We start from the raw sequence: 18606 nt of genomic DNA on the forward strand, positions 1-18606 counted from the left end.
AGGACTTAGATAAGAGAAGGAGAAGAGCCAGAAAGATGTCCACATCTCGCCGGGACACCTAGCACCAGGCCCTCCTACAGGGGACCTCATATGTAAATAGCAGAATGGGGAGCAGGACCCATTTACCGGGCAGTGATACTCTTCTATTAGCTCTAGAGGGTCTCAACTTTCGCTGCACATTGGAACCCCCAGCGAGTTTTTTTGTTTGCTCATTTTTGTTTTTGAGATGGTGTCTTGCTCTTGTCACCCAGGATAGAGTGCGGTGGCACATCTCGGCTCACTACAACCTCTGCCTCCTGGGTTCAAGCAATTATCCCTGCCTCAGCCTCCCGAGTAGCTGGGATTACAGGTGCTTGCCACCATGCCCAGCTAATTTTTGTATTTTTAATAGAGACGGGGTTTCACCATGTTTGCCAGGCTTGTGTCAAACTCCTCACCTCAGGTAATCCGCCCACCTCGGCCTCCCAACGTGCTGGGATTACAGGTGTGAGCCACCATGCCCAGCCACAAGTTTTTTAAAATACTGATGCCTGGGTCCCACCTCCAGAGATTCCAATTTGGTTGGCCTGTAGTAGGGCCTGGGCATATGTATACATGTGCCATGCTGGTGCGCTGCACCCACTAACTCGTCATCTAGCATTAGGTATATCTCCCAATGCTATCCCTCCCCCCTCCCCCCACCCCACCACAGTCCCCAGAGTGTGATATTCCCCTTCCTGTGTCCATGTGATCTCATTGTTCAGTTCCCACCTATGAGTGAGAATATGCAGTGTTTGGTTTTTTGTTCTTGCGATAGTTTACTGAGAATGATGATTTCCAATTTCATCCATGTCCCTACAAAGGACACGAACTCATCATTTTTTATGGCTGCATAGTATTCCATGGTGTATATGAGGGATCTAGAACTAGAAATACCATTTGACCCAGCCATCCCATTACTGGGTATATACCCAAATGACTATAAATCATGCTGCTATAAAGACACATGCACACAAATGTTTATTGCGGCATTATTCACAATAGCAAAGACTTGGAACCAACCCAAATGTCCAACAATGATAGACTGGATTAAGAAAATGTGGCACATATACACCATGGCATCTGGATTTTTAAAACTCCCCAGGTTGCTAATGTGTAGCCAGAGGTTGAGATGCAGGCCCTAGGAAATGATACAAGAGATAAGGGGAAGGCTGACACTTCTGCCAGAGCAAGAGAGGGGAGGGATACTCAGCTGAGAGCTGCTTCTCAACCTTGGACATCCCCTCACCACAGGCACTGCTTCAGTCCGGGAGGTTTTCACTTAGAATTAGCTTCTCTTGAGATCCCAGAATTTCAGAGACTCTCACCCTTTTCATTTCCTATAGCTATTAGAATTTACAAAGGGGCCACCCCCAGAGGAGACAGAGGAATTGACAAATTGACCTCTAAGAGGCTCATCTCTTATCAGAAAAGCATATGGTCCCCAGATCACCAGTGATAGAAGCAGAGGCAGATACCTCTAGTAGTTGGAAAATTTGTAGTTACATAGTAAATGCAGTTTCTACCTGGTTGCTACAATAATAGGCCAAGCGATTAGGATACAAGTTTCCAGGATCTTTTCCTATATTTCCAAAAAGATAAATCACCCCTAGGAACAGAATCTGCATATTGTAATTAACTGATAAATATTTCATGCCTGGCTCAAACTTTCTCCTCTTCTATTTAATGGCCACAAACTTGAGCACAGAGGAAACAGCAGTGAGGAGAGTGGCGGTTGGCTGTAGGGGGGAGGTTCTACCTTGGCTTCAGGGAGGGAGAAACTGTCTTGGTTAATTATTTACTGTCCTCCTGTTCTTTTAAGAAAACATTGCTCACCTGGAGAAAATCAGGTCCCAGGTGGTAAAGGGTGTGACTTGGGCTTGTTGGCCTCAGCCCTGACCTCCCCCAGGAGAGGCCAGGTTTTGGTGACCCTGGGGGTGCTGGGAACTGCAGGCTTTGGAGTCAAGGGCCCAGTGTTTAAACAAGAGCTCTGTTCTGTCACTTATTAACTGGATAGCTTTAGGTAATTTACGTAATTTATGTGAAACTCAGTTTCTTCATCTGTAAAACAGACATAATTTTTACCTTGTAGGGTGGCCTATGCTCAGTTGGCTCTCAATGCATGATAACTATTATTATCAACAGTAACAATGAATAATTAATAGCCCATTGGATTGTACTCTTTCCCTTTCTCAACCCTGCTCCAATGTGTAGGGCACCTAAACTACTGAATGCTTACTGTGAGTATGGTGAATGCCTTAGCTCAGTTAATCAACATAATTCTTTGAAGGGAATGTCTTATCATCCCTACTTATCTGTGTTTTGCAAATGAGGGAACAGGGCATGCAGAAGTTAAATACCCTGCCAGGTGTCACACAACTAAGTGGTTAAGAGCACAGGCTCTGCAGTCTGACTGTGTAGTTTCAAATTTGGGCTCTGCCGCTTAATAATAGACTCTCCTTGACTTACGATGAGGCTGTGTCCCGATAAAGCTGTAGCAAGCTGAAAATATTGTAAGGTGGATATGCATTTCATACACCTAACCCACCAAACATCATAGTTCAGCCTCGCTTACCTTAAAGTGCTCAGGACACATTCATCAGCCTACAGTTGGGCAAGATCATCTAGCACAAAGCCTATTTTATAATAAAGTGTTGAATAGCTCATGTATTCAACATGAGATATTTATTCATCTCATGTATTCAACATGAGATTCAACATGTTATAATGTACTGTACTGAAAGTGAAAAACAGAGCTGTTGTATGAGTATTAGAAGTACAGTATCTAATGAATGCATATCACTTCGGCATCATCATAAAGCTGAGAAATTGTAAGTCAAAGCATCATAAGTCGAGGACCGTCTGTGATCACTGCAGGATGGAACATAAACTGCTTAACCTCGCTAAGCCTCAGTTTCTTCATCTGTAAGTTGGGGATATGAATGGTACCTACCTGAAAGGTAGTTGTGAGAATTAAGTGAGAAATGCGTGTATAGTGCCTGTCTCAGTACTGGCATGTGGTAAGTGCCTAGTAAATGTGAGTTGTCAGTACCATCATCATACTACCCAGCAACTCAGTGCCATGGCGTCTCCTGCTCTTTGGTGGTGTTTGGGAGGTGAGTGAGTGTGACGGTCCTCCAAAGGTCACAGAGCTGCTCTTTTAACTCCCCCTGACAGACACACACACTTCAGTATCTAGGACTCGGGAGAAAGGACACTAAGCAGATTATGACTCCATTTCAGGAATTAAATCAAAACTCAAGACTATCTCAATTTGGCTTCTGACTAGAGGGAAAGGTTAAAAGGGAGTGAGGAGGCGGCTGGGTGTGCGTTCAGAATTGCAATTGGTTCTGGATCCCACCTCCCAGCCCCTCCACAGGGCCAGGCCCAAGGAGTATCCCCCAGGGGTGGAGGAGTGAAGGAGCCTTAGAACCTGTGTTATCTGAATGTGGGTGAGGTGGGGAGAACGTGGTCAAGGAGTTGGGAAATTATCCAGAAACATTTTCCAAAGGGAGATCTTCCCGCATACCACCTCAGCCTGGCTCTGGATTGCAGGGGAACCCCAGAACGGATGGGGTCTGGGGGCTTAAGACAGGTAGGTGGCCTCAGTAGAGGGGAGAAACAGTCCTGCTGGAGACAGTCGCCTCCCTGGAGAAGTACCTGGGCTAGTGTTCTCTTTAAAGACGTCTAAGCAGTCCTGGTATGCTAAAAACATTATGTGTATGTGTATAAACATATATTCTGTGTGTGAGTAGCCACTCAGCTCTTACTTGGCTTCGCACATTTGGCCCAGATTATTCTGAGCATTGTAAACTAAAAGTGAAATTCGGTTTCTACTTGAGAGAGCGTGATTTTCCTCAGTATTATCTCCCGTGCCCCCAACACTCCACCAGGCTTTAAAGGCCATTATACAGAAGGGAGAACTGAGACTCCAGGAGATGGGTGGCTTGTTCAGAATCACAGAAGCAGCGTGGATCCAAGAAGGGATCTGTTCCCAAACAGAAACCAGTGTCTTGGGAGAGAGAGAGCAGAGGAAGCCCGCACCTCTGCCCTAACCTGAGGCTTTGAGCCTCCCGCAAAGCCGAGTGAGTTGAGAGCGCCCAGAAGGCAGACGCTGCGGAGGGAGAGACTCCTGGGCTAGCCAAACAGCAGGGCCTCGGGCAAGAGCGTCACCTGCGCGTCCTCATTCTGCGATTACTGTCAGGGGACCATCCATCAGCGCCGCCCTGGACGCTGGGCCAGACTGCCCGCCGCCCGCACCGACCGGGTCTCTCCAGATCGCATTAGCATTAGCGTGGGGCGAGGGCTCAGTGCGGCACTGGCTGCTGAGGGAGAGGCGTGGCGGGGAGGGGGGCGGGGCGGGGGGACGGGGACATCGCGGTGGGGCCATTGCAGGGCAGGGGAGTGGCTGCTTTAGGACCCTCCTCCTTTTCTTCCAATCTCCCGCCTCTGGCATCTAAGGTGGATGAAAGGGGCACTGGAATGGGCGGCTTTTGGGGGGCAGGGGGTGCAGAACACTGAAGGCATCAGGGAAGGGTAGTGATGGGGGCAGTTATCAGAAGCAGAGAGGAAGAAATACCTGTAAAGGGGAAAGCCAGAGAAATTGTCTGGGGAGGGGAGAGACTGAAAATGGGGGTGCAGAGATTGGGGGTTAGTGGAAGAAAAAGACTTAAAGGGAAAGGAAAAGAGAAGCTGTAGAGGGAAAAAGAATAGGCAAGGAATTGACGAGAGAGCAGGGAAACAGGAAACCACAGATCGTCAGGGGCTGACAAAACCTTAGAGACAATCTACTGCAGCCCCTCATTCTACAAATGAAGAAATGGAGGCCCAGAGAGGGGAATCCCTTCTCCAAAGACCCACTCCACCTGCTGGCTGGGCAGGCTCTTGACCGCAGGCTCATTCATTCGACCCATGTGTTTTGAGCATCTGCTGTGTGCTGGGCACTGGTCTGCCGAGATGATGCAGGATCAGCTCCTGCCCTCCAGAAGCTACAGTCTTTCCTCAGGGGCTTGGAGAGGCTGAGCATCCAGGAAGCTCCCTCACCCCCAGCCAGGAGGGACTCCCTGAGCCCCACCTCTCCTGGCCACTGAACCTTCCTTGCCCTCTGCTGTTCTGCTTATCTCCTCATGGAGGGTGGCCGTTCCCTGGAAGATCTTCCCTCTCCACTTTCCTGGGGACTCCCCAGGTGTGGAGACAGGTACTCGACAGTTTGGCCAACTTGTTCTATCTCCCACAGCCAACAGCGTAGGCCTAAAAGCAAAGTCCATATTCCTTGCTGGGTTTCACCTCTGGGCATGGACAAATCCCACAGGTTGGACTGAGATCCAATTGAGCTGTGGTAAGGAGGATTGAGGCTGGACATGAAGAAGTACTTCCAGGTCCCACAGTGTGGGATCATTTTCCTGCTGGGGCTTTAAAGTAGCTGTCCTTCTGTGAGCACAGTGTTGGCACCATCTTCCAGGGAAGGACTTGTCTTCCTCAGTCTCCAGTTAGCCTTGTGCGAGGCATTATGCTGGGAATGTTGGGGTTCCAGATACCTGGTCTCTGACCATGGGGTTTCTGCTCTAGACATGGGTGAACTGACATCTCCCTGGCATCCTCCCAGTCACTGCCAGCTCTGCAACATCATGGAACCCCTGAGTCCTTCACAACTCCCAGATCATCTCATCCTTCCTCCTTGCTCTGGGAAGACCATGTCTGAGTAGTTCCAACCAACCTCTCACCTTAAACCCAGTCCCTGATAATGAGAAGTACCTCCTTAGTCTGGACTTGACCTTCCTTGCTGCCATGGTCCATCAGCAATGACCAGGGCTGAAGCAGCACGTTTTTTCTATAAACACCGCTCCCTCCCAGTGATGCTCACCCAATCCTCGGTGGTCAGGCAGGGAGTGGGGACAGCTTCCTGCCAAGAGCTCTGGAAGGCAGCTCTGCCTCCTCTGCCTGAAGCAAGCTCCTGTATACTCTGAGATGGTGGTGTTCATTTTAAAGAAGGGACCATCTTTCCTCCACAGCCCAGCTTACATTTGGAGGGAGACAAATGTGAGTTTCCAATCCCAGAATCTTAGCCACTGTACCAATCTCCATGGATGCATGGGATTCAGGAAAGGAGAGAAATGAGCAGAGTGAGGACATGGATAGAATCCATTTCCTACCCCTTGTTCCAGCCCAAGTCCCAGGGAAAGGCCCACAGAGGGCAAGAGAGGTGGACATTGAAAATTCCAGACTAAAGACCAACAGACAGATTTCAGCATTATTCCTTCTTGTAGGCAAAGTGGTACCTAAGGATCTAACCAAATGAAAAAGCCTGGGAAATAGGCTATTTCTGCACCCCCTGACCCTTCATGCAGAGCAGGATATCGGCTTCAGCCCAGGAGCAATGCTAGAAGTTGAGAGGTTTGGAGTAGACTGTGAAGCAGTTCCTCCAAGGGCATGCCAGATGAGGGGGTTGGAGCACCCAGCCCAGAACAGCATCCAAGGAAGGAGGCCTTGGCAGTAACTTTCTGTCTCTGTATTAACTTCACATACATTTTCTTGTGTGATCCTCAGTGCCAGGTTCAGCACCAGGCACAGAATACATGCTTGCTGTACAAATGCATAAGTGAAGAGCCATGGGAGGAAGGTCAGGATCCTCAATTACAGATGAAGAAACAGACACACAGAAAGGTTAAATGACTTGCTCAAGGTCACATATCTCATCAGAGACAGGGCCAAGTTTCAGTGGAGAGCCACTTTAGTGGTAGAGGGTGGTAGGGAGGAGGGAGGCAGGAAGGGAGGGAATGAACCATCAGACACCACACGGGGGGAGAGGAGAGCTGTCATCTTTCTCTTTGTGAAAAGAGATTACTTCCTGGGAAAGGTGGCATTTAAGACCACACAGTTTTAAAAACGACCCATTGAAGGTTGATTTGAGCATATGCAAAGTTCTGCCAAAAACATGGAGAGGTCAATGAGTAGACGGGGTCATTGAGGATCAGAAAAGAAAGACAACACTGAGAGTCTGGACAGCTAAGCCCCAGAATTTTGCTAGTCTTAAATGCTGGGTGACATCAGGCCTTCCACACCCCTCTCTGAGCCTCTAGAGAATGGAGATGCCAGACGTGGAGAAGGGTACACATGGGCAAGAGGAGGCAGGTCATTGCCTTCAGGGTAGCAATTGGAGGCATCAAGTTCCCACTTCCCTAGACCTATTCTTTGTTGTTATTATTGTTGTTGCTTTCATCTGATTTTAATTGTTTTATGTTTTTTGAATAAGAAATACACGTACATGGTTCAAAACTCAAAAGGCACCAAAAGTTATACAGTGACAAGTAAGTCTCCCCGGAACCTCAGAACTCCCAGGCCACCCATGTCCTCACTCCGTTAGTACTGCAGTAACCACTGAATTGTATAACCTCCAAAGGTATTTTCTGCTTCTCCTGGCTTGTACCCTGAGGCCACCACAAAACCGAGTTGAGCACTGATATTCTGAGGAGATGTGGTAAACATGTTTTGGCCCCTGGACTGGTGGGGCCTTGGAATACTAAATACTCTCACTTTCCACTCTGAAAAGATGGAGAAACTTGAGGTCAGGAGAGAGGACATTTCTGCGTGCTTAGAAGCTCAGAAGCCTCGCAGGTGAGAGGATGGAGTTGGGAGCCAGGCAGAGGCAGGAACCCTCTCCAGGGCTCTAGTACCACACTCCCACCCCAGAGCCTCACAGTGCCCTCTGGGTTAGCCTGGCTCAGGTATGCACCCAGTTAGGTCCTGCTCAAGTTTTCCAGAGAAAAAGGCCCAGTGCTTCCCCTCCACCACCTGTCACATTGTTGGGAGGCCTTTCTTGATGTCTCACTCTAGTTCCTTCGACTTTAGGTGTGGCCCATGGCTTTTGATTCTGCCCTCAGTGGAGATGGAACATGCTCTTGGAGATGATAGCTTCCAGGGACCCAGGCTCTTCCTCCCACTTGCATACACAATTTTCCTTCAGGCCCTCTAATTCCACCTCAATCTTTTTTCCAGACTTAGAAGACACATGCCTGTTCTTTCAGCTACCCCCCCCCACCTGAATTCCCAGTCTGCCTCCATTCCCAACCACCTCATTCTTGCCCTGCACATCCCTTTGGCATTATTATCCCCAAGTATTCTTTGGTCATGATGATGGTAAAATCCCAACCTAAAGCCAAGTCCTCCACCAGATTCCAGAGGTAAATCCAGCCTAGTCTCTTTGATAACTGAATCTCTCCATTTTGGGTGATGCCCTAGCCCGACTCTTGAACTTGTGCCCAACACTCGGACTCTCAGATCCTCACACATGGCCTGTTGTGAGATAAGGCACAAGTTCATCCCAAGCCTGGGATGGCCTCCCCTCTGTTCTCTTCTCCAAACCCTCCCCTGGTGAACCTCATCCTTTGCATTTACTCACTAAGCAATTATTATTGAGTACTATTCCAAGTTCTTAGAATACATTGGTGATCAAAACAGAGAAAGACCCCCCACCTGTGTGGAGTTTACATTCTAGCAGAGAAAGACAGATAATGAACAATATTCTTACTAAATAAGTAAATTATATCATATATTAGAAAATGATAATTGTTACAGAAAAGGAATAGATCACGTACAGAAGGATCAGCATGGAGGGGAAATCTGAGGTTTTTAGTATGGTTGTCAAGGAGAGCTCACTGCGAATATGGTATTTGAACAAAGACTTAGAGGTGAGAGAGGAAGTTAGCCCCATAGACATCTTGGCAAGAGTATTCCAAGTAGAGGGAGTGGCTGGTGCTAAGGCCCTGAGGCAGGAACATGCCTGGCAAGTCTGTGGGAGTGAGCAAGAGTGGGAGGAGATGGCATCAGAGAGGTAAGGAGGGAACAGATGATGTTCGGCCTCGTAAGTCAACTTAAGGACTTTGCTTTTTATTCTGAGTGAAGTAGAGAGGAAAGACATGATTGGACTTCAGGGTCTTGTTTTGTTTTGAGAGACAGTCTCACTCTGTCACCCAAGCTAGAGTGCAGTGGCACAATCTTGACTCACTACAACTTCTGCCACCCAGGTTCAAGTGATTCTTATGCCTCAGCCTCCCAAGTAGCTGGGATTACAGGCACCTGCCACCATGCCCAGCTAATTTTTGTAGTTTTAGTAGAGATGGGGTTTCACCATCTTGGCCAGGCTGGTCTTGAACTCCCGACCTCGTGATCCACCCACCTTGGCCTCCCAAAGTGCTGGGATTACAGTCATGAGCCACTGCACCTGGCCTGGACTTCAGTTTTTAAATAGTCTTTTTGTCTTTTGTGTTGAGAATAGATCACAGGGGGCCAAGGGAAGATGCAGGGAGACTTGTTGAAAGGTCATTGCACTAATCCAAGTGAGAAATGTGTGGTTTGGACCAGGATGGCAGCAGTGCATGTGGTGAGAAAGGCCCAAATTCTGGATTTGGTGACAGTTTCCTCTTCCTTGGCTTCCATCCTTTTGCTCTCTTTGCTTCCTCTCTTCTTTTCTAGGTTGTATGTTTTCTCTCTTCTTGAAGACTGAGAGCTCTCTGTGGGTGGGGCTCAATCTCTGTTCCTGGGATCCAGGGCAGGACCCCAGGCAAAGGACAGACAGGCCCCGTGCTGCCTGGGAACAGGCTGACAAGCCACGCAGCTTCACAGCCCTCCCCAATTACAGGGTCCCTGAGCCAAGGGGAAGAGGCTGCTGTTTCTAAAGAGGATGTGATCGACAGTTATTGAAGGTGCTTAGCTGGGGGCTCCACTCTAGTCTTAATCTGAGCCGCCCTCAAGGAAATCATAACCAGCTCTTAAAAACATGTTGAGACCAAAGCTGGTGTGTGTGTTTGAGCGGAGCTTCAGACAGCTACTTAACACTGGGGGCCTCTGGGCTTTTGATTCCTCCACTTCTAGCCTGCCATCTCCCCCCAGCTGGCTGGTGCTTATCAGCCAAGACGTTGTTTAAATCACACTCATTTCCTATAACCATTTCATTTGAAATGCCATCCTCTGCTCCAGAAATTCATCTATCACCAGCCTAGGGGTATAGTTGAGGAGCCTTGGGGTGATCACTCCCCATCTCTACCCCTGGCCCCAGTCACCCCTCCTCCCATGACCCATATTCTCAGGTTTCACTCTATAAGAACTACTTCCACTCGGTGTGACAGGGCACTTAGTGCCAGAATTATTTATAACATTGAGATGGCAACAGGGCAATGGAGAGCAGCCCAACCCATGGACACTTTCTCTTTGAAAGCTCGATCAATGGACCTAGATCACTGTTTACTACTTGGTGTCTCGGCCTCTGCCGTGTTTCCTGCTGGCTTTGGGGGATGGGGAAACAGGGGTCTGGACCAGGTCAAGGCTGTCCTCAGAGTTTATGATGCTTATAAGCCAGGCCTCCAATAAAGTTATGCCTTCACTGTACCTCTATTCCTTGGCCAGGCACTTCCCTGCCTCAGGTGAGCTCTCTTCTTGGAAATGAACCATTCTTCGGGCTTTTTCTCAAACAGGAGCCCTCTGCCTCCCCCAGGAAAGCTGGTATTATGTCCCTACCACAGTGGCAGAGCTAGGACTTGAGCTGAGGAAGTCATCTGATATGGATCAGAATGGGGATGTAGAAGATTCTGGGAGTTCTTCCGAGGAAGGGCTTGAATTGGCCCCACCCAGTCTGGAGTGGAGGTAGAGGGATGGATGAATTCACTTCTTAAGGACTGAAAACCTTTTTACCATCCTCTTCCTCCCCAGCCATAGCCAATTACTAGTTGTCCTAATTTGAAGGCTCTGTTGTCTGGACTGGAGGATTTTTACCCATTTTCCAGCCCCTCTCCCGGTCTCATTTATTTGGGCAGTGTCACATTAAAGGCATTGTCAGACTTCCTAGTCCTTCCCAAAGGCCTGACCCAACTCCTTCCCAAATGGTGAAGCACTTCTGCCTCCCTCCCTTTACACCTGTGGACCTACCACACTGGGGAACTCCTAGGTGAGTCCCAGAGAAAGCCCAGGTGAAAGACTATGAGCCTGTCGGAAGGGATCAGGGTAGAACCCAAGTTGGGACAGGCAGGGGAGGCAGTCCCAGTCTTTAGGGGGGTCAAGTAATTCCCCTTTACAAGCCAAATGAAGAAAAAAAGTTCTAAGGGGAGCATATGACTCCATAAAATAAAGGACATAATTGGGAGTGATATCTAATTTATCTATTGAATGCCTCCTACGTACTCTTTTATCACTTAGATGGACAGAATATAATTGGTGTGCTGTGCGCCATCAATCTCAGAGCCTGGGCTTCCTGTGCTGGCTACACATATTACTGTCAGATTATGACACTGTAATACCAAGATCAATGACATTTTAAACGTGCTCCAGTTATGGGCAATTGCTGACAATAAAAACAGTGACAAATTGATGAAACTTGGGCAGCGATTATCTGGTGTCAAAAATAAACCATAAAGAATCTGATTTCCAAACAGAGAGAGGTGCCTGGGACACCAGCTTAGGGAGGAAAGGCCCAGCGAGAAGAGAACTTATCCTGCTCACATGATCTTGGCCACTCAGGAAGCCACCTGCTCTGGAAAACTCCCTCTAGGCTGACCTGCAAGACCCCAGCAGGAAGATGGAGAGGTGGTCTTTGGTTAAGGCTTGGGTTCCCCTTAGAGAGAATCGTCATCACTGAGACTCTGGGAAGTGTCTGTGTGTGACTGCCAAGGTGGGCTCCACACAAACTCACTGAGATACTGGTGGGTTGTCTTTCATGTCCTGCCCACACTGAGGAATTAGGGCAGACTGGTTGAGTCATAGAATCACACTTAGCCAATGTTAAAGCTAAAAGAGACCTTGAGAGTCTCTCTTCATGGAGGGTCAGGCTCTGTCCTCCAAACTGTCCCTCAGCAGAGGGACCTGGATCTTCCCTAACTTGACCCAGGCATTATTTCCCCAGGCTAATCCCCTTCCCCACCCATTGCAGGGAACTCCAGGCCTTCAACCAGCAGAACTATTTTGGCGTACATTAAGAAGGTGGGCCTCCTCCAGCTCCTCTTTTTTTTTTTTTTTTTTTTTTTTAGATGGAGCCTCGCTCTGTCGCCCAGGCTGGAGTGCAGTGACAAAATCTCCACTCACTGCAAGCTCTGCCTCCCAGGTTCATGCCATTCTCCTGCCTCAGCCTGCCGAGTAGCTGGGACTATAGACGCCCGCCACCACACCTGGCTAATTTTTTTGTGTTTTTAGTAGAGATGGGGTTGCTCCATGTTGGTCAGGCTGGTCTTGAACTCCTGACCTCAGGTAATCCACCCACCTTGGCCTCCCAAAGTGCTGGGATTACAGGTGTGGGCCACCATGCCTAGCCTCCAGCTCCTTATTTTTAGTGGATTACCTTAATTTGTAGTATTCCTTTCATACATTTTTCTCACTTTAATAATCACAGTTTTAAAATATGAATACTTTAGTAGCATTGTTAATACTACTTTATATAATAATACTTTAGTAGTATCGCTAATACCACTATTACAAGGATAACTACTATTGGGAAGCATTTATTGTGCAACTACTATATGTAAACTCTGTTCCAGGTGTTTCATGTGTATTATTTTTCATCCCCAGAGCAGCCCTGTGAGGTGGGTATTGTTCTTCACATTTTAGAAGTGAGGAAACAGGCTTAGAGTCGTAGTGATGTGCCTAAGATGACACAGCTGATAAGCAGTGGAGCAAGAAAGGAGCCTGAGATGTGGCTCAACATTCATCTTTTTTCCATTGCCCCTTTCACAGACCTTTATAGTCCCATTTATAGACAGGGCTGAGGGCCTCCCTAAAGAACCTATAGCTAGTCAAAGGCAGAGCTAGACCTAAGCCTAGCTTTTCTGACCCTTCTCGTATTAGACCTGCACCGTATGTATTTTTTTTTAAAGACTGGTCAAGTGCAGTAGTGAGAAGGGGGAAGGAGCAGAACAAGGAGTTTGATCTGTAACTGACTGTGAACAATCAATTGAGATAAGGCACTACCTTCGGAACACCCCCGACACTCTTTCCAGATGCACCACAACAGTCCTTTCCCCAGGTCACCACCACTCACTCAGCCAGGGGCTTCAGCCTTGGCCTCTAAGAGTCAGCAGGGGGTCACAGTTGGCTTTGAAACCAAGCAGACAGGTGTTTGAATCCCCACTCTGCCACCTTACAGCTGTGTGGCCTTAGGCAGGTGGTTGTGAGAATTTAAATGGCATAAGCATATAAAAGCATTTGGCGTAGAGTCTGGCACATAGTAGTGCTCACTAAATGGTAGTCATTAAAGATACAACCTGGGACAGTGGCAGCTAGTTTAACAAACCACCACACCCCATAGCACCTCTCACCTGGGTGCAAGTTCCCCAGGCCACACTGCAGTAGCTGCTCGCTGAGGGTGTCCCCGGATATATAAGAAGCCTCTCTGAGGGCCACAGAGGTTTTTTGATGGCAGATGGTTTAAAACATCATTTTTATATTAAGTTGTATAAAATATACTACGTTATAAAATGCAAAGTTTGCATCATTTTAGAGCTAAAACTTAAGGCCACAAAAGAATCTGCTATTTTCTTATTAATAAAAAATCCTATTTTTATATAATGCAAATAATGAAGATGAAGTAACCTATTATTTAATTAAACATGTCTTTTTTTTAAAAAAAAAAAAAAAAAAGAAATAATTGGTCCTTGCTAATGGCCCTTCAGGGCAATCCCCCAGACTGCTGGGGTCCAAGTTTACCCTCCTGCCTCTAATAACAAAGGGACTTTGGCAGAAAAGTTTGAGAAACCCTGTCAGGAAGAGAGCCTACACAAGGACCAGGAAATCTGACTTCTTCATTCTTTAGAAGAACAAAACAAATAGCAACATTGTGTTTTCTACCTTCCTAGTGTTTTACCTTCAAGTTTAGCATTAAGAACATGAAATGTTTTGTGTAAATTCGTGATTCTTATTTCTGGTTCCTTTCTGTTTAATAATTACTAGCTGAATCATTAATCATCAACCAAGTGAATGGTCACACTTTATAGAAGGCTACAAGGTGGAACACAAGATTAGTTGGATTCTTAAGAAAGAAACTAAAAGCTGCTTGCGACTTAGATGCTCTTAAGTTTTATGACTGTGGTGGGAATTTGAGCATCCAGGCCTTGCTTCTGATGGTCCTCTCATTCCAGTGCCCCAGTTCTAATCCTCTGTGGGTGCCCTCGGTAGTCACAGCCTTGGGGCTGCCCAGGGCTCAAGGCGTCCATGTTTTTAAAGTGCCCAAAAACGGCTTTTGATTCATCAGAAACTCCACAGGACACCCACCTAACTGGGGCTCTGATACCTAATTCAGCAGCACCCACCACCAAGTCTTTCTAAGTTTTATTTTTTTTAATATTACATGCAATATATGTTAATTATAAATAAATGTAATAATTCAGGTAGGTGAAAAGGAGAAGGAAAAATGGCCCAAGTAGTTTCCCCACTGAGGAAGAACCCTGGTTAGCGAGGCAAGTCACGTGACTTTCGGAATCATGTTGAATCTACACCCATTTAAGGTGGAAGTCTATATAGCCTGATTCTTTGATGGTTTAGAGCTCTGCTCAGTTTAGAGTTCAGGGAGGTGGTATCTACAGGGTGTATTGCTCTGATAAAAATTAGCAGCCTGCCCAAGTTCAAGGTATGAGGGGACCGATCACAGATTGGTTTGAGAATCATTATGTTGGCCCTTTGGTGACTCTAAGGATTAGATCCAGAGTACAAGGGGCCCACACTTCCAAGGGATCCCACCACACCTTCAAATAGCAGACTCATGGAAAGGGGATTCAAAGATTCTCCCCCTCCAGCTACGGCATTGCTTTACAATATTTAAAATTCCTTGACTAAAGAGCAAGTCTAAATTGCAAGTACTCCTAGGACAGGGACTGGCTTAGATCCATGACAGCTCCCTCTCTGAAAGAAGGGCATGCCTTACTCCACCAGACCAAACAAAACTAAAGTGACTTCTCTGCTACCCCCAGAGAGGGGCACTGGGGATGGTAAAAGCATTTCTGTCCCTGCACCCAGGGATGAAGTAGAGAAATGCCACTTAACCATAGCCAGGACCCAAAGAATTGTGAGTGGAAAGAGTGACAAAAACAGAGAAGGACAGAACTGTAAGCCACCGCACTTCATTTAGGAAGTTAGTGCTAGGGTAACAGGAAGGATCGGGTGGGCTTTCAGGGGAGTGGAACCTGTTAGAGAAAGAACAAAACTGAGTGGAGACGCAAGGCAGGAGACCATTTATAGGTGAATTAGCAGCAGAGGGTGGGTGGTGGCTGTGCCTGGGGCAGGGGTGGTGGGGTGAGGAAGTGGGGGTGGCAGTGACTTTGAGGGAGCTCTTGCAGAAGGTAGCTTTTTGAGGTGAAGAGCCAGAGCTCTGGGTCTTAAGAGTTGGAAAGCAGGTTATATTTCACATCCTTCCCTGAACAGAGAAATTGAATTTGGTCAAGAATAAGTCCTAAGAAGCAGTTGTGAGCACCCCACTTTTCCATCTTGTTGATGAATATGGAGTGGGAGCAAAGTTGAGTGTGGGCATCTGACAAGGTCTTTATGATCCTAGATGCACTTACTATACCTTCCTCCTCCTCCTCTGCCTTGGCTAATGGGCTGTGGGTACCCACCACACAGAGGGCTATAAGACACTCGCTGTGGCTGATGGAGAAGCTGGGCCCTGCCCTCCTGGCCTTCTGAGGAAAGTGATTATTGTTTTTGGCTTGTTTTTCAACTATCCCTTTGCCCCCAGCAGGACTGAACCTTTCCACTCTTACCATCTCTGGGTCCCTTCAGATCTTTTATAGCCTTGAACTATCCGCTACAAGATTTTTTTCTGTCCTAAGAACGGAAGTCTGGTCTGCTTCCTAACATTAATCCCTTCCACACAGCACAGCCTCGTTTCCTCTAGATCAGAGAGATGGCTTCTGGATTCATCTTTCCCTGCAATCCAGCTTCTCCTCCTGGGGCCCTCATAATGGAGACTGGGATCATCATCCAGGCTTTTGCACTGGGTTAGGAATTTGGGAGTCATCCTGGATCCATCTGCCCCTGTCAACCTTTCTCTGTCAACAGATATTTACTGGGCATCTCCAACAGCCAGGCCCTGTTCATGGTGCTGAAGAACAGCATGTATAAAACAACCCTGCCCTCACAGGGCGATCACCAGTGACCTGTGGTGTGGAGTCTCCTTTTACCTCTGTCTCCTCCTTCCCACTGTCACCATCCTTGGTCCTCCTCTGTCACCTGGAATACTCCACTTGGTAACCAGCATGATCTTCTAACACTAGTTTTACCCTTGTCAGCACTTTGCCGAAAACCTCAAATAAAGACTTTTTTTTTTTTTTTTTTTTTTTTTTTTTTTTTTTGAGACGGAGTCTCGCTCTGTCGCCCAGGCCGGACTGCGGACTGCAGTGGCGCAATCTCGGCTCACTGCAAGCTCCGCTTCCCGGGTTCACGCCATTCTCCTGCCTCAGCCTCCCCAGTAGCTGGGACTACAGGCGCCCGCCACCGCGCCCGGCTAATTTTTTGTATTTTTAGTAGAGACGGGGTTTCACCTTGTTAGCCAGGATGGTCTCGATCTCCTGACCTCATGATCCACCCGCCTCGGCCTCCCAAAGTGCTGGGATTACAGGCGTGAGCCACCGCGCCCGGCCAAATAAAGACTTTTTTAAAAATGTGCGATGGAAAACTAAAGTTATAAATTATATCATAACCATTGGACCTCTTTTTAAAATGCACTGAAGCCTTATAATGTTATCCATGGATATATATCTATGATAAAAATAGAAAAAATATATGATGGTGGTGCTTCTGAAAGGGAGGGGAACGGTACTGGGGAAGGGACAAAGGGAACTTCAACTTTATCTGTAATGACCTGTTTATTTTGAAAACTCAAGAGCAAAATTGACAAAATTTTAACAGTAACTTAACAAAACCTCAAGTCTGGATAGTGAGTTCAAGAGTGTTACTTTATATGGACAGGCAGTGACTCATGCCTACAATCCCAGCACTTTGAGAAGCCAAGGCAGGAGGATCTCTTGAGCCCAGCCATCCTCCCACCTTGGTCTCTTGAAGTTTGAGACTAGCCTAGGCCGCATAGTGAGACCCTGTCTCTTCAAAAAAAAAAAAAAAAAAAAATTGAAAGCAACTCAGGAGGCTGAGGAGGAAGGATTGCTTGAGTACGGGAGGTCAAGGCTGCAGTGAGCTATGACTGAGCCACTTCACTCTAACCTGGATGATAAAGCAAGACTCTGTCTCAAAAAAGAAAATTAAAAAAAGTGTTGCCTGTAATCCCAGCACTTTGGGAGGCTGAGGCAGGTGGATCACTTGAGCTCAGGAGTTCGAGACCGGCCTGGCCAACATGGCGAAGCCCTGTCTCCACCAAAAATACAAAACATTAGCCAGATGTGGTGGGATCAGTCTGTAGTCCCAGCCACTCAGGAGGCTAAGGCAGGAGAATCACTTGAACCCAGGAAGCGCAGGTTGCAGTGAGCCAAGATCTCACCACTGCACTCTAGCCTGGGCGACAGAGTGAGACTCCATCTCTAAAAAAAAAAAAAAAAAAAAAAAAAGGAGTGTTACATTAGTTGTCTATATGTAGATACACTTGTCAAAATTTAAGCCATAAAACCCTCAGTGTCCCTCACTGTTCCCACCCCCTTAGCCTGGCATACTGGGTCTTTCACAAGCTTGTGTCAACCTCCTCTACAGACTCATCTCTACACTGAGGGACTTGCAGTTTCCAAGTCCTCTGGCCTTGGGACCTTTGCCCATGCTGTTCTCTTCTGAATGCCCTTTCCTGCTTTGCTAATTTGTTCTTGCCCTTCTGGATTCAGCTCCTGGGAGGCCCTGTGGATTGAAGTCAGATGGCTCAAGTAGGCAGCTGGTTAGGACCCAGGAGACAGAAACGTGTCTGAGGAGGACAACACTTTCTTGTCCTGGTTTCTATTCAGCTGCAACTAGAGAAACAGATCACCTGTTTCTTGTTCAAAACTAGGATCAGTGAGAGGAGGGTGGAAAGAGTAAGATCCTCCACAGTGCCCTCCCACCTCCCAGCCTCCCCCTACATAGCCTAGCCCCAAGGCAGAAACTTCCCAGCAGAAAAAGGAAAACTGATAACCTCATTCCTTGGTCTGGCTCTGTTAGGATTATCATCTGGTTTCCCCTGCTGGTGTTGGAAGAACTGTGTTGGTGCAGGCCAGTGCTATCCTGTGACTAGAGGGAAGAAGCTCTGCCTGGGCCTGATTTGGCCACAAGCTCCTAGTAAGATGCTGAAAAGGAACACAAACTCTCGGCCCAGGACACCCTCCCCATGCCATCCCACACTTGACTTCTGCGCACCTTGTGAGCAGATCAGATTTGGTGTTGCTTCTTCCACATCATCCTCACATCCCCTTTCACAGACTCGGATAGATCCCCTCATGGGAACCTATGGATCTATGGCATATCTATGGATATGCCACCCCATGGCAACTGTCCTTTCCCCTTCATAGCATACATCACCCTGAATTATAGCTGCCTGTTTATGTATGTGTCTTCTGCACCAGGTAGTACTCTCTGATGGGGCAGGGATTGGGTCTGTCTTGTTCACAGTTGCATCTCCAGCACCTGCAACTCTGCCTGGCTCAGAGT

The sequence above is a fragment of the Homo sapiens genome, chromosome 9 (genome assembly GCF_000001405.40).
Source record: "Homo sapiens chromosome 9, GRCh38.p14 Primary Assembly".
NCBI classification, from domain to species: domain Eukaryota; kingdom Metazoa; phylum Chordata; class Mammalia; order Primates; family Hominidae; genus Homo; species Homo sapiens.